At 41.6% G+C, this 27,595-nt stretch overlaps 1 protein-coding gene across 4 annotated transcripts in view, besides 1 other annotated feature; it reads left to right on the top strand.

The window, feature by feature from the left end:
* The first annotated feature begins 3,205 nt into the window (after window positions 1-3,205).
* Window positions 3,206-27,595, top strand: part of TAFA4 (TAFA chemokine like family member 4) — a 200,782-nt gene continuing 176,392 nt past the window's right edge. For 2 of the 4 annotated variants that reach the window (XM_011533372.2, NM_001005527.3), the window contains exon 1: window positions 3,206-3,431. The gene's annotated coding sequence lies outside the window, so the exon portion shown is untranslated. Of the gene's footprint in view, window positions 3,514-27,595 lie in introns of all 4 variants that reach the window. The other 2 variants (XM_011533371.2, NM_182522.5) reach the window with 1 other exon arrangement.
* Window positions 16,205-16,807: an enhancer, noted in NCBI's record as "OCT4-NANOG hESC enhancer chr3:68968097-68968699 (GRCh37/hg19 assembly coordinates)". NCBI's record gives its function as "activates a minimal SCP1, AML or CMV promoter by ChIP-STARR-seq in naive H9 embryonic stem cells {active_cell/tissue: H9 hESC(naive)}" and the evidence as "EXISTENCE:reporter gene assay evidence [ECO:0000049][PMID:30033119]".

Below are 27,595 nucleotides of genomic sequence, written 5' to 3'. Positions count from 1 at the left end.
AGAATGTTACCGAATGAATGACAGGAATGTTTTCTTGTAAGAGGAACTACTGTCTCTGCCTGGAACAATTTTTGCCCAGATATTCGCTTGGATGGCTTTTTGTCAGTTAGGTCTTGACTCAAACGTCACTACCTCATAGGGACCTTCTCTAGGCAGCCAATCTAAATTAAACCCATCCTCATATCCTTCTAATGCTCTAGCCTTCTTTTATTTTCTTTTAGCACTTATTGTGCTCTGAAATGACCTTATTCATATATTTGTTGAATTATTTACTGTCCAACCTTCCCCACAAGAATACACGCAACTCACATGTGCCTTGTTTGTCACCATATCCTAGAGCCTGGCTCACAGCAGGCGCTTGATAAATAGCTGAATGAGGAAACAATTGGATAATTGGGGCTTAGTGGCTATTTCTTTTTTTTTTTTTTAATATAGCTTGCCTTTTTTGTGGTGATTTGGTTAGTAAATCTCAATTTATCAGATCATTCTGGCTTCTTGCTACTGCACAAGAGACATCAGGTCATTGGAAACTTACAGATGAGTCCCTTAACTGTACTATCTTACTTTAGAAACAAACACACTTTTATGCTTGTATGAATTTGCTAGGGCTGCCATACAAATACCACAAACTAGGTGGCTTAAACAACAGAAATTTCTTGTCTTACAGTTCTGGAGGCTAGAAGTCCAAGGTTAAGGTGTTAGCAGGGTTGGTTCCTTCTGAGGGCTGCAAAGAATTTGTTACACGCCTCTCTTCTCCCTAGGTGGTTTGCTGGCAATCTTTGGCATTCCTTAGCTTGTGGAAGTATCACTCCATCTCTGTCCTGATTTCTACATGGTGTTCTTCCTGTGTGCATGTCTGTCTCCAAATTTCCCCATTTTATAAGGACACAGTCATACTGGATTCGGGCTCATTCTAAAGACCTCATTTAATTTAATTCCATAAAGACCCTATCTCCAAATAATGTCACATTCTGTGGTACTGGGGGTTATGACTTAAACATATAAATTTTAGGGAGACAAATTTGAACCTCTAACAGTACTGAACATCCAGGATGGAAGAACATGGTATTAGGTTGAGCCAAACACAGTTGCTTACGTTTTGGTTTTCCTCACCAGGACAAGAAACCCCCAGTGCAGGAAAATTGGAGACATGGAAAACAGGGCTTAAGTAAACACGCAGATCTTTGCCAGAACCATGTTTGTCACACAGTGTGGAAGCAACGAATATCTGGTGAACAAATGAATGTGGACTTGTTCTTCTAAATGACTTGCTCCCTCACTTCTTCCAAGTCTTGGTTCAGATATTACCTTCTCAGTGGGAACTAGCCTAACTACTGTTCTTAAAACCACCATCTCCCCAGTACTCACCTTCTTTTCTGTTACTTTCTTTCTCTCTATAACACTGACCACTTTCTATCAAACTCTGTAATTCACTTATTTGTCATGTTAATTGCCCATCTCTCCCTACTAGAAGATAAGTTCCATGAACTCAGGAACTTTTCACTGTTGTGTTTCCTTCTCTATGTACCAGCACTTGTTACAGCGCCTGACACAGAGTAGGCCCTCAGTTTTGCTGAGTGAGTGAATGAATGAATGAATGCTGTTGAGAAAGAGCTCTGGAATCTCCTGGCATGCTATTTCAGGTTTTGCTTGGATCTCCCCTTTGGCCGTCACAGAACTTCAATGCTAGTCTTTAAAGGAAATCTCAAAGATCAAGCGCCTATCTCCAAAGCTTGAATTCTCTCTTAAACTGGTGACATCTTGATAACAAATTGCCTTTGAATGTAGAACCCCCATTTTAATAATAAGAGAGTAAGAGATTGAAACTGTTTAACAAGTAAAATGTGCTATGGTATGTGTGGTACGGGGAACAGAAGCAGAAGGCCTGCCATACGTTAGTTCAAGGGGTAGAGTCAGAGAAGGGTGAACATACTTTGGAGTGCAGCAGGGGCAGGATGGCACATAATTGTATGTCAATGCAGAGTAAAAGGACCAGAAGATGATAAGCCAAGCCAATGACAGTGAGCAGCATAGTGGTACAGAGCAACGTTTTCTAACTTTATGCATGCACCAGCCACTTGGGCATCTTGTTAAAATGAAGATTCTACTTCTGGGGTGGGGCCTGAAAGTCTGCAGTTCTAAAGTGTTCTCAAGGGACCGCTCTACGACGCCATGCTTTGCATACTAAAGAGCATGGATTTACTAGTTACCTGTGTAATCTTCAGTAAACGATTTAACTTCTCTGTGCTTCAGTTATCTCATCTATAAAATAGAGATCAGATGAACTAATCCCAGTAAAATGAATACCATTAAGTGACACTGATTATCAGTTACTTCACTTGCGGAAGAGTGGAGGGCATGACTAGGAATGGGGTGGGAGGAGGGAGTCAAAGAAGTCTTAGCTGAATTTTTTTTTTTTTTTTTTTTTTTTTTGAGACGAAGTCTCGCTCTGTCGACCAGGCTGGAGTGCAGTGGTGCGATCTCGGCTCACTGCAAGCTCCGCCTCCCCGGTTCACGCCATTCTCCTGCCTCAGCCTCCCGAGTAGCTGGGACTACAAGCACCCGCCACCACGCCTGGCTAATTTTTGTATTTTTAGTAGAGACGGGGTTTCACCGTGTTAGTCAGGATGGTCTCGATCTCCCGACCTCATGATCCACCCGCCTCAGCCTCCCAAAGTGCTGGGATTACAGGCGTGAGCAACCGAGCCCGGCCCCAGCTGTATTTTATACATTAAAAAAGAAAAGTATTTAGGTATTCATACGTGGGCCGAGTTTTCTCCTCTCTCATACAAGCACATTACACGCGAAGCCAGATTAGTTCATGAATGTGCTACTGCACGGGGTGGCTAAGAAATCCTGCTTGCAAACCGCTTTGGGTCCTGCGTGGAGAATGGTTTCGAGTGAGAGCCGAACCCTAAATCCGTCTTCCTTATGTGGAGCTCAACGCGACTCTCAGGTATTCAGGAAGAATACCTTTTGCTCAGCACCTGCGGAGTGGTGGCCACAGCGAGGCGCTCGGGAGAGGCGCCTGGAGGCCGGCAGTGGGGGCGCGCCGCCTGAGCAGGGGTGCGGGGCGGGGAGAAGGCCGGCCCACGTGGACCGCGGGGCCAGGCAGGGACAGGAGCAGCCGGGCGGCCCGGCCAATCAGCGCGTTCCGCGGCGGGCCCGGCCCCTCCTGGTCAGCGCGCTAGCTGGGCTCGGCTCCGCACTGCTAGCTGCGCGCCGCCCTGGACGGGGCGCACCGACTGCGCGCGCGGCTGCGGGCAAACATCGGGAGTCCTGCCTCAGCTGCCGCTTCTCCAGCAGCAGCTTCAGGCTTCTCCCGCAGGAGCTTCGGGCTTCTCCTGGTAGAGACGTGGGAACTTTTCTTCTCCTGGCGAGGCTGCAGAGGTGATGGGCCGCTCCCGGGGCTCCCGCGGGGAGGCGGCACGGTGAGCGTCCTCGGGCTCCGGTGCGGCGATCAGTACCTAGTTCCGGACGCGCCGGTCCGACTTGGATGCCGGCTCTAGTCGAGTAAGAAGGGTTGGAAGGGATAAGGAGGGGCGAGAGGATGGGGTGGGGGTGGATTTGGACCCTGTATTTAGGTGCTGTCTCGTGGGCAGCCGCTGCCTCTCGGCTGGTACCGAGTTAACTCAGCTCGGTGCAGCTCCCCTCATCCCGGCTCTCTGGGGCGCCGGGGAGAGTGCCTGTGCTGAGGTCGGCGTGCAACCCGAAGTTGGAAGGGGCACTCCGAAGTAAGGATGTGTGGCTGGAGAGAGGCAGCGGCCGCTTCCAGTTTCGGGGTTCATGTCTGACAGAATCCCCGGGGGTGCTCTGCTGATGCGGAGGAGGCCACTCGATGAATTGGTATAGGGGGTGGTGAACTCACCGTGAGCTCTTTTCTGGACAAGTCGACCTTAGCGCTTCATCCCTTTAATCTGAGCTAGGATCTTTCTAGGAGCAAGCAGGTGGGAGCCGGTCAGCGTCCCCCCGCCCCCACCCCCACCCTGAAGCTCTGGTTGCTAGGATCTTGCTTGAAGGGCGCAGCGAGCGCTCGGGAGGCGTCTTCCAGCTGGGAGCGCAAAGCTTCCCGCCCAAGTGGAGAACTGGAGCGGGTCTGGAAGTTGCGTCTCTTTCCGCGGGAGGCATCTCAGATTTGCCCACCAAGGTGGCATCTCTACATTTCTTTCGCTCTTTTTCCCACTTTGCCCTGTTAATCCGCTCCTAGAAGAGAGGGCATCCTTGACCCTACGCAAGGAGCTCGGGAGAGGATTGGAACTGGAAAGCTTGATCTCCTGCACCTGGTGAGGCTGCCCAAGCCAGACACAGTGCCGCTGGTGCGTTTTCTTCTCGAATCAGCATCATTTAACGTTTAGGGGCTCCACGGAGCCTTAGTAAAGCTGTGAATCAGCTCCTAAGCAGTATGTACATGCACGGGTTCACGGACTCGCCGAGACCTAGCCTGGTGCCCATCCCCCGTCACCGAGATTCAGGGACCCCCCTTTGGTTTAACGTCTTTATCCCTGAACTCTTTTCCCTTTTAACTTTTCAATGGTCTTCCCTCTGAGACAAGCAAGGTTGATGTGATGTGACAGGCGATCCCCGTGTGTGGGGATGGGCGCCTTCGAAGCTTTGGTCTGTTTCTGTCTCTAATATCCTTGGCATAAAGCTTGTCCACCATAACTCGTAGCTGCCACCTGCAGACTCGGTCACCCAAACTTGTGCACACTGATGGCCTAGCTTCCTAATCACACGCATCTTCGTTTGGCCCCCTCTAGAACACTCGCTGAGGAGGGAAGAGGTGGGGGCAGTTTGTGTCAGAGCCCAGTTCAGGAAGGCCTTGGATTTTTTTAAAGGCTAAAATAATTTAGGAACAGCCATTTTGCAATATAATTAGTGTTACCACTCAGTCACTGAGAACAAATGTATGACTTGAAGAATTCTTCAATAGCTCGCGTGGGTTTTATAGTGAGAAGAATTTCTGCTAAGTTTATAGTCATATCAGTGTGAAAGCCCAACACTTCCTCTAGATGGGAAATACAGGCCTTAATAAGGTAGTGTGAGAGCAGTTTTCAGAATCATTATGACGAATGATGACTTGTGTCCTCCCAAAATGACCGAGTGAGTTGGCATGGCTCATTTGTGGAAGAAGCTTTCTTCATATGCACGGACATTTCTTAATCAATATTCTCATAGCAGAAAGCCGTATTTCAAGGTTCCCTTCCTAAGTTCTTCTGTCTCATTGTTCTGCTTTGCGTGACTTTGCTTTCATCCCTCAGTACCATCTTAACTGCCCTTTGACACTTTAAAATTTATTATAAGGCTTCAAGTCACAATTTGACTTGGCCACTTTTCCCTGCTAAAGATAAGTAAGTTGTCCTGTCCAGAAAAGCAGTGGCTGCCAATTTCTCTATCTTTGAATGACTTTAATTGTATTACTTGTTCCCTTAGCACATACAAAAACCCCTACAAATATCTCTGCTTGATTATTGGATATTTTTCATTGAAGGCAACCATTTTTATATTTCTAGTACTAGAATATCCTAGGTCACTTGAATTTCAATATTCATTTTCTGATCTTTTTAGACATGTGTATTGTTTGATGACCTAGTTCCATTTAGTAATTAAAAAAGAAAAAGAAGAAACTCCTTTGCTCCCCGCTACCACCTCCTTTTCAGTGGTACCTAGCCTTTTCCTAATAGCTGCTTTTTTTCTGCACCACTCATTTATTGTTACACTTAATATAATACTTTGCTATGTAAATGGCATGTTGATGCATGTGATATTAAAACTGCATTCACTGGGGATTAACCATTGGATATGACATCATCAGCAGCCAATCCTTGATCTGATTTGAACATGCATTGACAAAAGTCATATTATCATATTGAGCAAGTGATTCTATATTGCCTGTGATGAATAAGGGAAAGAAGGAAGTCTTTTTGGCACTTACTAACTCTCCGTTAGCTGCCCAGTTTGAGAGTTTTGGGTATTTCTATACTAAGAGGCTTAGCTTAATAATAACATTCTCAGATTGCAATTTTATAGATCTCTTTAGAATTTGCATAAGTAGATTTTCCCCCTTGTGCTTTCTTCCTCTTTGCGAGTTTTTCACCCTGTGTTCTGGCTCTGTTTCTTTACAAATATGTAAAGACATCACAGTAAATGGACTAATCTTTTGCTTTTATTTTTTGTCCTAGAGATAGCCACGTAGGTGATGGGCTAATTTGAGTACATGAGTTCATTTCTTCAGGTGTTGGCTATTAAATCACTCAGGATTAGCAAGATGACTTAAAGTCCTGAAGCCAATCAATCATAAATGATTGGGAGGCCATACAGTATATTTATCCTAATTTGTCAAGATTCAGGATTGAGGGTGGGGGATTGAGGCCATAGGAAACAAGATTCACGATTCAGGCAATAGGAAACAAAGATATCCACAAAGGTATTGGTGAAGCGATCTTGGCCACATTAATCACTTCATAATTATTTGTTTTGAAAATGTTATTTCTGAAAGCCATGTCAGAACCTAGACAGCCCTGACTTCGAGACTTAAGTATGGTATGGCAGCCCTGACTTAGAGACTTAAGCTGTAGTATGGCACTGCACTTTGTAATGCCTCACTCAATTTGTGATCTCCTGTAACCCACCTCTCAAAAGATAAAATTGACCTTGACTTCCCATCTATTTGGTATCTGCTGAAAAATAAGAGAAATTCTTCCTGTTGTACAGTTGCTATTCAATTCATTTCCCTTCAGTCAGTCAAAAGGGCTCTTTTTTTTTTTTTAAATAAACTTAATTGTAAAATCTGGTTTAAGGAAACGCTCAAAGAATTTTAAATCTAGAAAGTACCTCAGATTTCACCTTTCTAGAAGATCAGGGGTAGGAGGTGTTGTCCTACCTTGGATCTATTATGTTATTTAAAAAACCTGGGATTAGAATCCCGGAGTCCTAATTCCTAGCCCAGTGCACTTTCCAATGAAGACTGGGAGAGAATGACTCCTGTGATGTGGTGGGACCCCTTCCCTTGGCTGTCTCTGCGGAGGAGGGCCACATTGGCTTCTTGCACCATCAGTTTGCTGGACTACCATGCTAGTTGAGCCCACCTCAAGGATTGGACAGCTGTATACACCAGCTAGCTTGGGTTACTTCCTAGTAGCTGCGACAGTATCCACAGTTATAAACGAAAGGTTTAAAGGGGAGCTGGCGATGGAAGAGTATTGGGCAGGGTGACGCAATTTGAACCTAACTGAACACATGGAAAGACATGGATGTTAGAATGATGGTCAGGCAGTTTAAGATAATGATTTATGGTTTATTTGTGAAAGAACTCAGAATATCAATCTATTAAGTGATAGGCTGCCCTTTCATACTTAGTGCCTTTTAGTTGCTATAAAAGCCAGTACTAGCCAATAATTTGGTACAACATTATTTTCTGGCATGATTGTGAATAACGATAATGGTACCCCACATTTGTTGAACACTCAGTATGTGCCAGCTGTAGCGTGTTGATGTTATGGAAACATTCTGGTTACTAGATGGCTTTCTTTATATGGATGAACTACTGATTTTCAGAGTTATGAATCTAAGGCAACATTGAATCTTTTTTAGTCATTCTTTTTAATTCAAAAGCTGTCAGGATCTTAGAGTAGCAAATCATTAACACAAGCATAAATAATTTTAATTCAGAAGTATGGTAGCATCAAATATTAGGGAGTTCTTGTTAATAAAATGACAAGACACCATTTAGAAAGATAATAAAGACATGGGTAATTTGTTTCCTTTTATGAGATTGTGGTATTGTTAGTCCAGAAGAGTAAAATATCCTTTTTGGAAAAATAGGAAGATATCATTGTATTTCTTTTTTCTTTTTTTTTTTTGAGATGGTGTCTCTGTTACCCAGGCTGGAGTGCAGTGGTATGATCACAGCTCTCTGCAAACTTGACCTCCTGGGCTAAAGCAATCCTTCTGCTTCACCCTCCTGAGTAGCTAGAACTACAGGTGTGCACCATCACGCCCAGCTAATTTGTTATTTTTTCTAGAGACAGAGTCTCAGCATGTTCCCCAGGCTGGTGTCGAACTCCTGGGCTAAAGCAACCCTCCTGTCTCGGCCTCTCAAAGTGTTGACACTACAGGCATGAGCTACTGTGCCTGGCTATACTTGTATTTCTTATGAAGCAAAGAGAAAACACTAAGCTTTTTTTAAAAAGATAAAAATATGGCAGTACACACAAACTACTCTGTTGGCTTTGCTAGTGCTATAAGTTCATTTTAAACTAGAAAGCAATAGAACATTCTACAGTATTTCAGTTACGTTAACAAAAGGCGGAGCTGTCAAAAGCTAGAGTTATTATTTATTCATTTTTTTTAATGACCACTGTGTCTGTTTGGATTCTTTTAGTTTCACATCTGTGCCATGTGTTCTAAAGTTTTCTCTGAAAATTAGTAGTTTTATTTCTTGATTTTCTTCATTTCTATTTCATCTTTTTCTCTAGTGTGATGAAAATATTGATAAGTCTGCAGTACACTGTAGTTACTAACCTGGGAATCATTGGGCCTAAAACCACAGACTTTAAATACAGCTTCTAAAAATTAACAAAGGTTTTCAGCAAGGAAGAAACTTACAGACCACGAAGTGGAGGGGAAACTTAAAATTGCTCCAATGGGGGGCAATTTTGCTCCCCAGAGGAGTTTTGGCAATGTCTGGAGACATTTTTTTGATTGTTACAATTTGGGGCAGGATGGTATGGGAGAGCAGTCTCTCGTGGGTAGAGGGCAGGAATACTGGCTAAATAAACATCCTGTTGTGCACAGGGCAGCTCCCACAGCAAAGAATTATTATTTTTTATTTATTTATTTTTTTGAGACGGATTCTTGCTCTGTCACCCAGGCTGGAGTGCAATGGCGGAATCTTGGCTCACTGCAACCTCCACCTTCCAGGTTCAAGCGATTCTCTCACCTCAGACTCCTTAGTAGCTGGGATTACAGGCACCTGTCACCATGCCTGGCTAATCTTTGTATTTTTATAGAGACGGGTTTCACCACGTTGGCCAGGCTAGTTTCAAACTTCTGACCTCAGGTGATCTGCCCGCTTCAGCCTCCCAAAGTGCTGGGATTACAGGCCTGAGCCACCACGCCTGGCCGCAAAGAATTATTTGATTCAAAATGTCAGGAATGCTGCAGTTGAGAAACTCTGCTCTAATGGCAACTTTTAAGGTCCAGAGTAGTGAAAAGTGTCTTATCCAATGTCCGCAGCTCTTTATTTCTGTCGGGGAACCCAAGTATCTTGATGCATAGGCCACAGTTCTTTTCATCACCCTAGGCTTCTGTTTTGAAAATTTCTTTTCTTAATTTATAAAAATAGTACATACCTGGGGTAGAAAAATTCAAACATTGCAGAAAAATATAAAAGGAAAGTTAAAAAAAAGAAACCCACCCAATTTTGCCACCCAGAGACAATTCCTTTTTAAACTTTGGTAAACCTATTTCCAATTCCCTCCTGCTGCTTTTATTCACATATATTTAGACCTGATTTTTTTTTTTTTTTTGGAGACAGAGTCTCTGTTGCCCAGGCTGGAGTGCAGTGGCATGATCTCAGCTCACTGCAACCACCCCCTCTTGGGTTCAAGCAATTCTGCCTCAGCCTCCTGAGTAGCTGGGAGTACAGGCGTGCGCCACCATGCCTGGCTAATTTTTGTATTTTTAGTAGAGACGGGGTTTCACCATGTTGACCAGGCTGGTCTGGAACTCCTGACCTCAAGTAATCTGGCTGCCTCCGCCTCCCGAAGTACTGGGATTACAGGCATGAGCCACTGTGCCCGGCTTAGACCTGACAATTTTGAATAACGGGGTTCATACATCATATGATCTGTGTCCTGCTTTGTTTACTCAGCAAAGGCCCATTAGAGGGCTTTTGATGAACCTGTGGCTAGGGAAGGAGGCCGACATTCCTTGCCTGTAGAGACCTCCTACGTTGTGGTGATCATTTTACATGAGACCCAGATGTGCTCTGGAGTGATTCCAGGAAAGATGACAAATCAGTGAAGAGAGCTATATGTCATTCTTTTTCATGGCTATATGTTATTCTACCTAAAAATTTATCTTAATATTAGTCATAAAACATCCAAAAGTTAAAAGGGATTTTGAGTTTCTTTGTAATGCATCCTGTTTACCAGACATCAAGTTTCATATGTCAGTAATGGAGTAAGTCCTTCAATTCTACCTTTTAAAGTGGTGTCTAGTTTAAGATTTTAAGTAGTCTGAAAGCCATAAATATTTTGTACAGTGTGATGTTTAATTAAGGCCATCCAAAGAAAAAATTACTGGGGTGAATTCTTCTCTGTATGTATCGTTGGGGGCAACAAATCACTGGAATAGTAATCTTTGTTACTATTTAAATCATTTGGCAGCTCTTCCAGTAGGAGCCAGATTGTAATGTAAACATCTATTACCTTTTCTCTGCCTTCAGAACTGATTATGCAACTCGGCTTCACATCAGAGTCGCAGCTTTCTTCATCTATATTTTTGGATTAATTCCTTCTCAACACACACTCACACACACGCACACACAGAGATATCCATGGACCCAAATCAAAAGAGCCATAAAATTGGTTACCATGGGCTCAGTCCTCCCAGGATAAAAACCTCACATCTTCTTTGCACTCTGTCCTGCTCTTTGTCTGCTTTGTCTAGGTCTGCTTAGAAGCACGGAACTCCATTAAGCAAGCCAGAGGATGGCTGTGAGTCTGCCCCTTGGTACCAATCTCATTCTCCTTGTATGCGGAATTTCCCCCACCTCAAAGCTTAGGTGCTGATATGCAGCTGAGGAGATTTAGAAAGCTCATTGGTTAACATTTAAACATCCCCATGAAGGTCAAGGAGTGCCTACCAGTGGGGGTTAGAGAGGCAGTGGGGAGTGGGTAAGGAGATGTTTAAATGGAATTAAATCTTACTTAGCAAGTGTGTCTTTCATCAGAGCTTTCTCTGGATGCTGGCCATTTTTGCGTTGGAGAATGTTTGTTAATATTTGCCTTGTTGAGCTTTAAAAAAATTATAATAGTAACAATAGTTATCATTTGTTGAGTAAGGATGTTGCTGGGTGTTATACTAAGCATTTTTGTTTCAGTTTGGGTAAAAAAGATAAAATTTATCATTTTAACCGTTTTCAAGTGTACATTTCAGTGGCGTTAAGTACATTCACATTGTTAAGCTACCATTGCCCATTCCATCCACAGAACCTTTTTCGTGGTGCAAAACTGAACTCTGTACCCATGAAACATGAATTTCCCATTTCCCCCTTCTAGTTCCTGACAGCCACCTTTCTACTTCCTGTCTCTCTGAGTTTCACTCCTCTAGGTACCTTATATAAATGGAGACATAACATTATTCGTTCTTTTGTGTCTGTCTTATCTCACTTAGCATAATGTCTTCAAGGTTCATCCATGTTGTAGCATGTGTCAGAATTTCCTTTTTAAGGCTGAATAATCCATTGCATGTATAGCCCACACTTTATTTTTTATTTGTCCTTCAATGGACATTTGTTTTTTTCCACCTTTTGGCTATTGCACGTCATGCTGCTATGAACATAGGTATACAAACATCTGTTCAAGATGCTTTTAGTTCTGCCTTTAGTGCTTTTGAGTCTCTACCCAGAAGTGGAGTTGCTGGATTGGATGATAATTCTGTGTTTAATTTTTTGAGGAACCACCATGCTGTTTTTCTATGGTAGCTGTGCCATTTTATTGTACTAAGAATATTTTTGTGCTATCTGATTTAATTCTCCTGAAGTCCTACAAGGTAGACACAATCAATCATCACCCTTCTTTGCATTAGAAAAATGAAGCACTCAGGGTGGAAGCCACACTGGTAGTTTGTGGCAAGGACGCAGTATGAACCCAAGCAGTGTGGTCCAGAGACACAACTCTTAGTAGATTATTCATTCTTTGAACTCAAGAAACGTTGGACAAACTCCTCATGCATATGGCCCAGGCGTGGTTGGGAAGAAGAGGTAAATAACAAGTGTGTTTACCCTAAGGAGAAGCTCTAACAGTCCTCCTCCTGCCACACAAAGGAATTTCACCGAGATCTGGAGTTCCTGTAGGTCAGATGTTCATTGTGAAATTGGTATTTTATCAAAATAATAACAGGCAATAAATACACACTGTGGCTATTGAGGCTGTTAATATTAGTGCTGCCTCAAATCCTTTGTCAATTGATAATCATGCAGCCCATGGTTTTTTAAATGCCATGACAATTTTTGCTTCTCGTTGGAGTTGTGGGGGAGAGGTGGGTTGAGACAATATGAGGAAATAATCAAGATTAAGATAAGCCTTAGGTAGGATCTGACTGATGATTGCATTTTTGTTTTACAGAGACAGTAGGCAGAGGACGTGGGCATCCTTCCCACCCAAAACACAGCTTGATGGAGTTATTACAAAGGAAGGCACGTTTAGTCACTTTATAGAATTAACAATTGATCAGTTTTGTGGTGCCTCAGTCCTTTTTAAGCACCCCATGTTTATTCATTATTGTGATTACACAGTAGAAGCAGCTCTGCTTGATGTGATGAGCAATAGCAAGATGTGAAGACATTTAAATATACTTGAAATTAACGTTTGCACAAATAGGTGTCTGACAGGGTGTTCTAATTTGATTCTAAAGACCCAGAAATAAGCCTGTATGGGGAAGGGGAGTGGGAGAGCTGGGCCTCATGGAATCCTGAGTCAGATGTGTGTAGTTTATTTGCCAGGTTTCTTTGCTATTTTAAAGGAAAATGGCAATGGTTAGAACCATGTTCCTCATGGGTGAGTTGGGGGAGCAGACAGTGCCAGTAAGCTCTGCCATTGATACTGGCCTAGCATGTTAGTTAATCCTTTTACAATGGAGCACCAAGCTCTGGTGTTCTCAGTAGTAGGGGAAAAGTCATGAGCCAGCTTGTCCTGATGTACACATGTACAAAATATACTAATCATCCTATGAAGTATTAATCAGGAAAGGAAAAAATTCCTCAAGACTGAAAGTTAAGGTCATCCTGAGAAAAAGGAATGGCAGGATTCCTAGAAAACCGTTTCTTCGAGAGATTTTGATTCCAAGTTTACTCTTTTCACATCTACAAAAGACTCAGGATCCCAAGTGTAAACTCAGATTCTGGTTTGATGTGCAAATATTTCTGAACCACAGCATAAATAGACATGAACTTACAAGCAATTGACTATATCCATATGTAAGTTTCATGATCCTCATTTACTTAGAAGTAAGGAAGGAAGGGAGATGAATATAGGGTTTATGCTGATTGCAATTTTTTTTTGATCCTCTGCAAATTCTGAACTTTGTTGGATTTTAAAAATTGATTTTACATGATCGATCTTGTTTGGTATACCGGTCCCCAAATTCCAGTATTCTTGACATTCCTAATATTACCCTTTAGACCAATGCTGGAGCACCTGGAAGGCTTGTTAAAACAGATTCCCTGGCCTCACCTCAAGAGTTTGTGATTCAATAAGTCTGGGATGAGGCCTGTGAATTTCTGTTTCCAGGAGGCTCCCATGAGGTGCCGATGCTTCCAAGCTTTGGACCACACTTTGTATAACACTTTCTTACACAATACATTTTTCAGAGTTTAAAAATTTTAATACAGAGATTTTTATAAAAATAAGGTTGTTTTGATTAGGTTGAGAGTTTCTCATTTTGTCATATGTTGGTAAGCTTGTCTAAATAGTATGATTCAGAAGGTTGATTTAAATTACTGAACCAAAAGTACAAATTAAATGTTCGTTGGATCAGTGTTGTGCCCGAGAAACTGATTTTGATAATGTCTTGACGTTTCTTTTAGAGCATAAGATGTGTTTTCTGTAGTTGAGGCCTTTTAAAATAAGAATTGCATAGTTGTTTAAATGGATGTTGAGGCAGGTTTGCTGTACGTAGCATGTAACCAGCCTATTGCCAACTTCCGTCATCTGACTGATGTCTACATTGGACTAGGAAAAAACAAGGCTTCAATTTCCATATACTTTTGAGTCTGATTTAAATTGTAATCCTATCGGCAGGTGACATACAGGAATTCCGTTTTTGTTCCTGTATAGTTAAGACTCGGCAGATGTTAAAAGCTGATGTGGATTTAAGATTTCATTCGTTCTGGGAATAATCGAAGATTTAGTCAGGACCAGAAGATGGAGTTGTAGACAGAGTTATAGGACTTGAGGGGGTATGGAAAGTTTTGCACAGATGCCTGGCTTATTGCTTTCTCCTGCCACTTGGAGGAATAAATTATCTTCTGCATTTGCTTAAATGAAAAGCCTTCAGTGGATTTCACTTTGTCTTGCACTGTCTAAAAAGATTAAAAGTTTGCAAACTGAAGTCTCTTTTGAATAAGAAAACACATGTAAAGAGCTTGCTTTTTTTTCTTCACTTGTTTAAAAAAATTGGAAGTTTGTGAAATATTTTGGAGATAATCTGAGTTATAGAAATGTGTGGGTGTTGGCAGGAAGGTTAGAATTGGCAACCACCAAGCAGAGCGGATGGACTGGGTCAGAGTCATTTAACCTCCTTCGTCTCCAGAGCTGTGTTTTAATTACATAGCTGGTTTGTGGAACTGTGATCCCCTCTTGCGGGCAGCAGGGTGTTGCGTGCGACTAGGTTTGTACTAATACTTCCTTAGGAGCCATCAGTCACTGTTGTCCCCTCGGCAGGTTTTCACATTGGTCATCTCTGCCCAACTGTCAAGATGCTACAGTTCTCCTCCCTGGCTGCCGACCCTTTTGGCCTTTGTCCCCCCAGCACTCAACCCCAGACAGTTAGAAGATGAGGTTTCCAAGTTGAGTGGCAGACGAAGGCCCTGCTGGAGATGGCTTCTATGGAAGACTAAACAGCAGAAGCATCCAAACAACAAAATTGTCCTAATTTTTTTAAGAACAATATCTGCTTTTAGAAAACCATAGTCTTTGATTTACTGTAGAACATGGCATGTGTGGGTGGTACTGTCTGCTGGCTGGGAATGGCTGCTTAGTGTTATTACAGCCACTTAGGCTGCATTGTAGGGGATAGTGGTGCCACTGGTCATAATACAGGGTCACAGTGACTTTGTAGAACTCCTGCAGGGAATACACAAGTTGTAAAAAAAAAAAAAAAAAAAAAAATTAGAGAAAAAGTAAAAATCACTTCTAACTCTCTCTACAACCCATTTCTATCTCTCCCTTCTCAGATACTATGAAGAGTTTGGGCTTCTGCGCATATTTAAAATATTTAGTATACATTATGTTTCAAAGAAATCCAAACATGAGCAGGAAGAATGGACTGATGAAGACCTGGTAGATTCTCTCTTATCATTTGAAGTTGATTTGTATCAATGCCAACTAATCAACAGAAATAGGAAGCATATTTGGCATTTAACTTTATTTAAAAAGTATAATGTGAAAATATCAAAATATATTAAACTTTGCTATTTATGTTAGTTATGTATGGTTACTAAATATACAGTCTTGTGTGTGAATTTTTTCACTTAAGTAGTGTCATTTTATACATCTGATTCTATAGTTTGTATTTTTTTGCTTACTGGTGTCTTGGAGATTATCCACGTTTATACATACACAGGTCTCACTCATTCCTTTAACTACCATATAGTGTTCCACTATGAATGTACTGTATTTTATTTAGCTGTTTCCCTACAGATGGGCATTCAGATTTTTCCCAGTTTTTTCTACTACAGAGAGTATGATGATACCATTCTTGAACAAAGTCATATATGGTGTTAACTGAGATGTGGTGTTTACTGTTTAAAGCCTTCTCATAATTACAATCTCTTGGTACCCATGTGTTTGCATTTTTCTAGGGTAGAAGTGTAATTGCCTGGTCAGAGGGTGTGTTTTAGAGCATTAAAAACACCAATGCACTAGTGGCTTGGGAATGTGTCTGGAAAACGTGGGGACTGCAGAAAGTCTCTTATCATTATGTTCTCTTGGAATTCAGATATGTTAACTCCAGAACAGGTCAAGTCCTAGACATTATCAATAAAATCTGTAAGTAGAATCTTACAAATTCCTGTATGTTTCAATAGAACTTCCCTGTGATGGTGGAAATGTTCCAAACTTCTTGCTGTTCACCGTGAGAGCCACTAAGCAACATGTCACTTTTGAGTACTTGAAATGTGGTTAATGTGACTCAAGAAGCAAATTTTAAATTTTCTTTAATTTTAATTAATTTAGCTTTAAACTTAAATAGCCATGTATGTGTAGTGGCTGCCCGATCGGACAGCGCTGGTGCAAGGTATGCATCATCATAAAAGGTAAGGCCATTGTAATTTACTACAGTCCCAAAAAGTTTTAGAGAGTGACTCATGGAGAAATGGAAGTGTAGTCTATTTTGTTCGATCAGGGGCTCGAGACTCTTGAGCTGAAAATAAGGTGATAAGTAAGTGAATGAAAACAAGACGATGTCATTAAGATTTATCAGGCATTTTCCTCCTTGTTTAGAGACTCCTGTCTGCTCTGTCCTGACGGGGGCTGCCTGCTGGAGCTGCACAGTCCTACTGGGGCAGTTCTTTGTAAAGTGAATTGATGGCTATGTAAATACAGCCATTAACCTTAAGCACCTCAGACAGCTCCTTGGGCGCTGCTGTTTTCTTGCCCTTGAAAATGCTGGTTGATGGATGCCAAGATGTTTTTTAAAAATTGTTTTTCCTAACTGGTTGAAGCAGTGGACTTGGGAAGCTGCAGGGAAGGTGACAGAATTGAAGGCCTACTAAGTGTGAATCCTATGGCAGGGGTTTGGAATTTCGTTCTTACAGAGGGATATTTTGAAGGTTTACTCTTGGTATACAGGAAATAGGATGCTGTATATGTCTGTGTATATGGTATTTTTAAAAAACAAAGTGAATTGCAATTTGAAAGTGCTGGTTACAGAAAGTTTATAAAAATCTGGTTTTAAAGCAAATGGAAGAGGCTGGGCATGGTGGCTCACACCTGTGATCCCAGCACTTTGGGAGGCCAAAGTGGGCAGATTTCTTGAGCCCAGAAGTTCGAGACCAATCTGGGCAACATGGTGAAACCATGTCTGTACAAAAAAATACAAAAATTAAGCAGGCATGGTTAGATGCATGCATGTAGTGCCAGCTACTTAGGTGGCTGAGATGGGGGGATTGCTTGAACCAAGGAGGTCAAGGCTGCAGTGACCCGTGATTGCACCAGTGCATTCCCGCTTGGGTGACAGAGCAAGACCCTGTCTCGAGCAAATAAAAATCAAATGAAGTTTTATAATTTAGGAATTTTGTATATATTTTAAAATTAGACATAGCTTGCAATGAAAACAAGAGCTTCTTTTTCGTTTCTTGAAAGACATTTTTAGAAGTAGATTGAGTGAGGATGACAGAGGCAGAAGATGGATAAGATTCCCATGTTGAAAATCTATCTGGAGGTAGGACAAGCAAAAGTTACATTAGAAGTAGGGTCAGAGGATGACGGTTGACAGTGCGCTGATTTTTTCTCCAGTGTCATTTGCGACCTCTCCCCCTTCCTCTGAGGTAACCACACTGACCATCTCTCATTTCTTACCATACAGTGAATGTGTTCCTTCCTTGTTCGGTGGCTCTGTACCTGATTTCCTTTCCCTGGAATGTGAAATGTGTTTGTGTGTGTGTGTGTGTGTGTGTATGTGTGTCTGGCTTCCTCTCATTATTTAAGTCTCAAATGTTGTCTCATGAGAGAAAACCTTAAGCAATAAATCCCTAACCTACTCAAAGCTACAAAGATCTGGCCTGCTATAAAGTACTGATGGGAGTTTCCAATTGATGACTATGTGAAAATGCTTCGAAAACTACAGCTCATTGTATAAACGCACATTATCATTACTCCTAAAGATCTGCCAGAAGCCACGTTGCCATCTACCAACTTGTCCTGATCGTCCACAAACTGGGTGTCAGAGTGAAAACTCAGAAGTGTTGAATTCAGAGCTTAGGTTTCTACCTTCCCACTTGGTTCTAGGTAAATACCATTGTTCCTGGGAACTTTCTTTTTTTTTTTTTTTTTTTTGAGACAGAGTCTCGCTCTGTCGTCCAGGCTGGAGTGCAGTGGCGCGATCTCAGCTCACTGCAACCTCTGCCTCTCGAGTTCAAGTGATTCTCCTGCCTCAGCCTCCCGAGTAGCTGGGATTACAGGAATGTGCCACCACGCCCGGCTAATTTTTTGTATTTGTAGTAGAGATGGGGTTTCACCATATTGGTCAGGCTGGTCTCGAGCTCCTGACCTCGTGATCTGCCTGCCTCGGCCTCCCAAAGTGCTGGGATTACAGGTGTGAGCCACCATGCCCGGTCGTTCCTGGGAACTTTCAGTCTGTTCCACACTGACACACAGGGGGGGAGGTCTCTGATTCTGCTTTGAGCTTGGATGATGTAGAAACACCTGTGAGATTTTAAAGCCCTAAAAACTCAAACTGTAGAACCACCACAGTCTCATAGTAAGTGCAGTTGAGGTGCTGTTTATATCTGAAATCTGTCATTACATTAACCTGATGAGGAAATATGCAATACACCCCCATGTCCAATCTGAGAAGTACATCAGTGTTTCCTCACTAGGGGTGAAAGTTGCCCTCCAAGAGGTTGGGGTGGAATCTTCTGGAAGTTTCCCTTAGGTGATGAAAGGGCCCATGCTGGAGACATTTCTACATTTCTTTCAATTATTTAATTGTTGGTGGTCCATCTATACAAAATGGATATATGCAATACAGGGTGGAAGAGATGCTAGCTACGTACGTCACATCTATTCTTCCCCCTACCTTAGTAATTGGAACCCTGATTTCTAGTAAGACACAAGCTGTACAGAATCAGGACTATGTTTTACAGACTCTCTTTCACCAGGGTAGCCATAGGAGATATATGTAGAAGTTTTGGGTGGTTATTTCTAGTGAGTCTTCTAAAATCCAGGGGTAGAGCCCTTTCTGGATCTTCCTCCTTTCTAAGTCCTGGAATGTGATGTAATAGTTGGTTCTCCAACAGCTATTTTGGGCTATGAAGTGACCTTGAGGATAAGAGGCAGAAGGGAAAAAGGCAGAACAGAAAGACAGAAGCTGCCTGAGGCCCTGGTGATTCTGTGGTGCTGAAGTACCTGCCTTGACCGTTCTACCACTAGGCTTAATTTTTGCAAAAAGAACAACATTTTTGTATCAAAGCTTTTATTTTCTAGGGCATTGTTACATGTGGGGTGAAATGATACAGGCAGAATGCAGTCATAAATGAAGTTGGGACCTAGTTTTAATGAGGTAATAATCTGTAAATCCAGAATACTTCGAGTTACATGTAGATCTAACTTGAGTTCTGTAAAATCCGAGTGATGGGAAAGGAAACCACACAACGGATTTGGAATTGGAGGGATGGATACTACGAAGACAGATACTGAGGGCCATTTCTGGGAAGGATCAAATGGAGAGATACTCAGTGGTTTGGGGGCAAGAAGAAGAAAACTGTCAAGGCTATTAAAAGCCATCAGAGAATCCTCCAAATTGCCAATATTGAAGTGAGTTACAACTTATTCTCAAATAAATTGAAGTCTTATCCGTTTGATATGTTTTGACAGGAAACGTATATTTACTGCCTGAAATGACTTCACTTGCTGAGCTCTGAACCACAGTATTTCATAAATGATTAACATTAGATGGAGTCAGTGGGAACCTCACAACATTTCTTAAACAGCATTCCACAAGAAAGAATTTCTCACAATTGTAAGGTATTTACCCTATTTCCAAAAGTACACATTCACACTGGTAGGTTTTGAACTTGTCTGTCAAAAATAGTTATTGCCTTTGCAGATAGAAAAATAGTCACTTAAAGTCTAAGGAGATGAGCAGATAAATTCAGCATATCTTGGTCAATTCCATATTTATTGAATGGAGATAGAAATTTCTCTTATAAATTTTTCTTCACTTCATATGTATCTTAAGTGCCCATTTTGCACAAAGTGGTGGGCTGGGTATGATTATTAATTCTAATATGGATTTCATATTCAGTGAACTATCAGTTTAGTTAGGGAGATTTAGCTACAATGGAGACAGGAGGAAGGATATTCCCATGTGGAGGAAAAAATGCAGTCCCATAAAGTCACCTCCCTGTTCTAATTCTTTCTTACTAAGAGGCTATTGTCAAATACCCACCATGATTAACTTCTTGGCTCCAAATTCTGAAGCCTATTGAAAGTTCAGAGGTGGGAAAATTCATCTTCCATCACCATTTTGAGAGTTAAATTTTCTTATCACCTAATTAGCAGCCCAATTATTTTCTGTCTGTACATGTCCAACAATGACCCTAAATGTTTCTACTTTAAAGATGCAGTAATGACTTGAAAACATAGAAGAGGACTCTACAGTTGGTTGGTTTTAAAGCAAGAACTAACTTGAGAGCACAGTAAAAATTCCAGAAAAAAAGGACACTTTTTCAATGTGGTACAAGAGACTAACTCATAATGTTTGCTTGTGATAGTTTGTAATTGTATTGTCTTTTTTGGCAAAGATCTTGTAATAGTGTTCTAGTTGCCATTGGGCCAGAGCTTGTCCTAAGAACTCAGAGCTTAGACACTCACTGGGCTTCAGAATTTGGAGCCAAGGAATTAATCATGGTGGGTATTTGAGAATAGCCTCTTAGTACGAAAGAATTAGAACAGGGAGGTGACTTCATGGGACCGCATCACTGACAATGATGAAAGGTATCCACTTGAGCAGCAGGGATTGACAAACTTTTTCTATAAATGGCTATGTAGTAAATATTTATACTTTGTGGCCCCATGAACTCTGTTATAGCTACTGTTATAGTGGGAAAAAGCCTGCGATGGTATGTAAACGAATGTTGCATGACCATGTTCTAATACATTTTATGAATACTGAAATATGAATTTTATTTAACTTTCATGTATCAATAAATACTATTCTTTTTTTCCCCCAACCATTTGGGAAGGTCAACACGATTCTCAGTTTACAGGGTGTACAAAACCATGCAGTGGGCTGGATTTGGCCCATGGACAAAGTTTGTTGATCCCTGCTGGAATAAAGGACTGTGTGCCCACTTCTCCATAGTCTAGTGAAGTCCAAACGTCACTAATTTGCACACCGCTTCCATGGTTTTTTTACTACATTATTTATTAAATATGCTAATTGAAGTAGACATATTTGGTCTCATCTTAATAACGAGTTTGATGTTGTAGCTTAATTGATGAAGTGCATCACGAATGCATCACAATTTAAATAAACTTTAAAACTCTTAGTTACTAACTTTACACATAAGGTCACATCACATATACTGATTTAATACCTTTTGCTAATTAAAAAACTTGAGGTGCAATTTACAATAAAGTGTCCAAATCTTAATTACTAGAGCTTAGTGAATGTTCACATAGGTACATAGTCATGAAACCACAACTCACATAGCATGCAGAATTTCCAGCACCCAGATTGGTCCTTTGTAACCCTCCTAGTCATACACACCACTACCAGTAGAACTTACTTTTTTCTCTTTGACAGCTTCTTATAAATGGAAATATATAGTTTATATTGTTCCCTAAGTTTTTTGCCCAACTCTATGTCTGCTGTTACCTGTAACAGTAGTTCTTCTTCATTGTTGCATAGTATTTCGTTGTAAGAATAGGCTACTTTATTCTAGTGTTGAACATCTATTTTTTTCACCTAGGTTTTGGCTAGGGAAATAAAGCTTCTGTGAACATTCTCATACATGTTTTTGGCAGATGTAAGCACTCATTTTTGTTGCACTTCCTTGTTTTTTTCAGACTGTTGGAGTCAGGACTACTTCTTGCCAGAATTGATAATTAAAAGAAAACATAGCTACCACACATATAGCACTTATTTTATGCCAAGCACTATTTAAAATCCTTTAGATGTATTAACACACTTAATTGGGTTGGGTAGGATTATTGTCTTCATTTTATAGGTGAGGAAACTGAGGTATAGAATGATGAGGTATTTTGCCAGGGTCACACCTAGTGAGTTCTAGAGCTCGAATTTCTTTCTCTCTCTGTCTCTAATTGAGACTGTCTTTCAGACATTGATCAGATTAGTAACAGATAATTTCTCCAAATGGTTCTCATTCTGTAGGACTTGCATGCTGGAGAGAAGGCAAGCAAGGAACAAACAGCACTGTAAATTGAATACCAGCAGCTCACGACTTGAACTGCCATTGGAACCCAGGTGGTCCAGCTTGAAAGGCTCTGCTTTTAACCATTCTGCTAAATAAAACACATTTTGTCTTTGGCAGCCTTTCCCTGCCCCTTCCATCACATCTTTCCGCTTCTTCTTGGGCACTTTGCTGCCCTAGCTGGCGGTACCACCTCCTCCATGCCCTCCTTTCTGTTCCCTGATGGCCAGCTTTATTTTGCAACTCCGCCCAGCCACCGGGTATACAAGGAGGTGGAACTGGGTGGCCTTTAGAAAACTGGCTCTGGAGTCACTCTCCTGGATTTAAATCTTGGCTTGAGTCCTATCTGTGCAACCCTGGGCAAAAAAATGTTAGCTCTTTCAGGTATCCTCTGTAAAAGGAAGAAAATAACAGGTGAGGATTAGATGGAAGATGCATGTACAGCACACAGCACAGTGTTTTGACACAGGAAGTTTTCATTAGGTAGAAGCAGCCATTGCATTCATTATTTATTTTGGTGGTTATTCATATAAGTAATTAGGGCAGTTTAAATGAATTAGCAGCTGAAAGTCTTTTCGTGTTAATTCCTCTAGGACAGGCATTTCCTAAAGAACCCCAAAGAATTGATCTCTAATAGTATAACCCAGTTGGGGAAATATTTTGGGGCAGAATTCCTACCCCCACATCACCTTCAGTAACACTTCTTCCAGCAGCCATGCTCTATTCAGGAACCTGGGTAAATACCTTGAGCCTTAGAGTAAAATCTATATCTTACTTTTTATTAACATCCACCTAGAGGAAAATACTAGAAAACTCAGTTTTTTCCTTTTGACTTTGTTGCTCTCCAGTGGTTTTCTGAAGCCCCAGAGAGGGTATTCTTGGGGCTTTGCAATTTTCAAGCTATCACAGAAGTAAAACTGAGTTTGATCTCTTGGGGCTTAAAAGAACAGCCATGAATCTGGGAGCACTTGAACAGGAGCCAGCAGCACCTTGGTCCTCCCGGTTTTCAGCTAAGCCCGTTATTAATTCTCTTTGAATGCAGCGGCACACACAGATGAGTAAGACTTGATTAACGGCATGCCGCTCGCTCGCTCATCTGGTCCCCAACACTGCGAAAACACGGCAGGATCGGGGAGGGAGCCAAGGGGCGGCTCATTTTGCAGCAAAAAATAAAAACCCAATATAGTGTGGCTCATCCCATTTCAAATTAATGTTCCTGTTTTGCATTTAATTAGCGGCCAGTAGTGAAGTCAGGCATCTAACATTTTGGTTCTGTCCTTGAGTTGCAGCAGTCTTTTAATCATGGCTATTTCCCCCTTCTCCCCAATCTTTCTTTTGATGTACTATTCTGCAAGCAAATAAAAAGACCCAGATTAGATGAGACTGGTAAAAGTGGAAGGGGGATTTTGGTTTTCAGGTCTTCCCTGTGGTTTCATGATTAAAGGGGCCCCGGCAGGTGTAGAAAAGCAAAACTGGCTCATATTCCCCTTTAGGAGTGGGCTCCTCTTTCGTGGGATACAGACAATGGGGAAAATAACAGACTGACTCTCCCAGTGAGTTGCGGGGTGGTGTCAGGTGAAAAACAGAACGAAAGTACAGGAAATATTCTGTGAGCTCGGACCCAAAGAATGGAGAAGGATCAGTGATTCACTGGAATGCAGAGGATGAAGCATTGATCCAAGGGGGCTTATGAGGGGAGTGATGCTTCGGAGGTGAGGTGTGGAGAATTGAAATGATTTCCCAGCGCTTGGGCTGATGATCTGGGCACTAGAGCCCTCCGTGTGGGTCGGAAACGTATTACCACTAATAAGAGCTTTGAGCCCTGGCAGCCCCACTGGCTGACGCACACCCAAACGTATGCACACCCTTCCTAGGAAGGTTTGTGGCATTTTATTTCTGTTTGACCGTTTCTGACATACCGACTTAAATTAAGCAGTTTTCCCTCCTTATCCCCTCCCTGCTAACTCATGGTTACAGGTGAACTTGTATTTTTGTGTCTCCCTTCCTGATTTGTTCTCCGATTTAGGTATAAGCCATGCAGTGGCTGGTGGTGTCCAGCCCATAGAAGACTCAAATATTTTTTGAACAAATGATTGGTTTGGGCGATTTGTGTGGCCTTGAGCAAATCATTTAACCTCTCTCACAGCTTCTGTTTCTCTATCTGAGTTGATCATACCCATCACCTGGGGTGTGTGAGGTGTAAATGAGCTAGCATGGGACCTTGTTGAGCACAGTGCTTGACACATAAGTCTTTGTTAGTGTCTTTTCCATCAAAATACACAGGGAATGTAAATCTCTTGGAAAAGAACATTTGATTCTAATTGGACAGCACCTTTCTGTGGTTGATGTTTTGTCTTTGCCTTACGAGAAGATGATAGAAACATGGGGGAAAGCTGTTAAGTCTCCAAATGCAGTCTTTTATAGGAAAAAAATGGATCATGGAGGATTCATCTTTACAGTTCATTTTATCGATTGGCTTGGCATAATTGCTCTCCTCCCAAACGTCAGCAGTGTCTTTGCTTTCAGCAGCGAGCTGTTTGAATGTGAACCGTGCCCTTAACATGTTTTGGGGCTACAGTTATTGAAATGTAAATTCAGCAGAAGAGAAAAATTCAAAGTTTGACCCTCTTTTGGAGAATGCAAAATTAAAATGAACTAATATTTCAGGCAAAATCTATCATATCTTTTTTACATGCTTTGTAGTTTAATAGGAGGTAAGAGTTGATATTTATCAAGCACTTAATTAAGTACCAAGCATTGTGTTAACCTTTTATTGATGTTTTATTAGAACAAACCTATGAGGTTGGTACAATGGAATCTGATTGCACATGAGATTTGGTGCTGAACTATGCAAAGAAAAATCGTATATAGTCAGAATAACTCCCTGCAAAATCCCATAAAATATTTTTGTGTACAACCCTGCAGAACAATTCTTAGCCCTAAAGTTTGAGAATTGCTGAGCTAGTCCACAGGAAGGAACAAAAGGAATGTCTACGTGCAGAAGTCTGGGCATTCAAATTTGTTGAATAAATGAATGTTGAATGAATTCTGCTTCTATCAAAGTTCTATAGAGTGGATGATGGCTTGAGAATTCTTAAGTATATCTCTGGCTTAAAGGGTTGGCTCGCTTCTCTTTTAATCTTAAGCCTCTTTAACCTAAATCTATCTTACTATATTTGTTGTTGTGAGGTTTCAATGCCATTGAGGAGACAGACCTGACTCTGGTTACATCCTAAAGTGAGTTTGCATATTTAGGGTGCCTATCATGATTCCACTGTACTATTAGTTGCCTCATTTTTATAGATGAGAAGCTGGAGTGTGTTAAGTGACTTGCTAAGGTCACTGTCACAGACAGATACCAGGGTGGGCCCCTATGATCCCCACATCTGAGTGTTCTCACATTTGTATAATCACCTCCCCTTGAGATGGGTGGAACCTGACTTGCTTCTAACCAATAGAATACAGCAAAGGTGATAGGATGTCACTTCTATGATTATGTTATATAAAACTCTGCCTTGCTAGCTGCCTAGCTCTAGAGACTCTATGATGGCTTGAAGAAGTGAATGTGTGTGTTGGGGATGCCCATGTGGTAAAGGACTGCAGGTGACCTTTAGGAACAGCTTAACCTCTGGCTTAGAGCCAGCAAAAACCCCTGAAGCTCTCAGTCCTACAGTCACAAGGATGAAGGACTGAATACTGCCAACAACCCTGTGAGTATGGAAGTCTTCCTCCCCCAAGCCTCCAGGTGAGAAAGCAGGCCTTCCCAGTGCCTTGAGTGCAGCTTCTTGAGACCCTAAACAAAGCATCTAGATAAGCCACACGCAGGCTTCCGACCCAAAGAAACTGTGAGATAACAAATGTATATTACTTGAAGTCACTAAGTGCATATAATCCATTATGCAGCATTAGATAAGTAACACAGTCATGTGAATTACGTGTCAGGATTTGAACCCAGTCCCATCTGATAGTAGAGGCAAAAGGCTTTTAGCAGATCTGGAAAGCACTTAAAGGCCATTTAGTCCAGCTACCTTTTGGTGGAGCCTGGATCTTCCATAGTATCCCTAGCAAGTTGTCAGCCAGCTCCTTGGGGCTCCTCCAGATTGGGGAGGCGGGGAATTCATAGTCTTTTGAGGTGTTTATGTTCCATTTGGACAGTTTCCTATTTCATGGGTTGATTGAGCCATTCACTCATTCAGTAGATATATTTACTGAGGGACTACTTGGTGCCAGGCACTGTGTTAGGTGCTAGGTGGTGAGTATGGTGACGACAGGTCCTGCCCTCATAGAATTGATATTGTTGTAACTGTTAAGCTGTTACTTCTTCAGCGCCATGGATATTCTCTTACTGTAATTTCTCTAAGTCCTAATTCTGCCCGGTGGGTTGCAAACAGTATTTCTAATTCCTCTTCCACAAGACAGAACTTCAGATACTAAATTCTGTTGTCATTTTGTCCCCAAATCCCTTTTTTTTTTGGGGGGTTTGCCATCCTTTGAGTTACTTCCACCATTTGGCATATGGCGTTGTCTAGAGCTGTGCAGCCCGACTTGGTAGCCCCAAGCTACAAGCAGATACATAAATTTAAATGAATTAGAATTAAACAAAACTAAAAATTCAGTTCCTCAGCTACAGTAGTTACATATCAGGAGCTCAGTAGCTACATGTGGGTAGTGACTACTGCATTGGAGATAGAGAATGTTTCATTGTGGTGGGAAGCGCTGTCAGATGGGGCTGGTCTGGCTTTTTGACCATCTGGGCCATGGATGCTGAATGAACCCTGGATCGTTGTCATGCTTATTAAATGGAACTGAAAAATAGGATATTGTTGATTCTGGTCTAGCTACTTCGGAGTATAACTGAACTAGCCCTTCTGTACTTTTGAGTAGTATACTTTTGTTAATGAAACATAAGATGAATGTTTTTACCAACCATATTGTATGACTTACTCATCTTGAATTTACCATCAAGACATTCTATGTGCAGTCCTTTTCCATGCGGAGAGCAGTGTTTCTTCTCTCCACTGTTTGTCCACTTATAGTTTTAAACTCATGCTTAATGTTTTGCATTTACCTCTGGAGAATTCCATCTTACTTTCTGTGAATTGGGCACCTTGATGGATATTTTTTTTTTTTTCACTTTTGCTTCTGATTTTTTAGAGTGGCTGTTTCCCTTCTTAGCTTCAGGTCATTCCCAAATTTAGTGGAATGATGGCAATATCGCCATCTGAGTTGTTGATAAGAACGTGAATAGGACAGGCTCTGGATAGAGCCTCGTGGCTTCCCACTAGAGATTAGGGCTGATTTAACAAAGCCCTAGAGCTGTTGTTAAGAGAAGGACTCTGGAGGCAGACCCTCACAGGTTTAAATCCCAGCTTCCCTACTTATCAGCTTTGTAACCTTTCCCAAAATGTTAACCTCTGTGTCTCTTAGGGAGTCTCTAAGAGGGACATTCTAAATTGATGTAGATATGGTTAATCAGTACTTTTAGAGCGTTATTTA

Source organism: Homo sapiens, chromosome 3 (genome assembly GCF_000001405.40).
Source record: "Homo sapiens chromosome 3, GRCh38.p14 Primary Assembly".
NCBI classification, from domain to species: Eukaryota; Metazoa; Chordata; class Mammalia; order Primates; family Hominidae; genus Homo; species Homo sapiens.
This window is presented reverse-complemented; position numbering and strand designations above follow the sequence as displayed.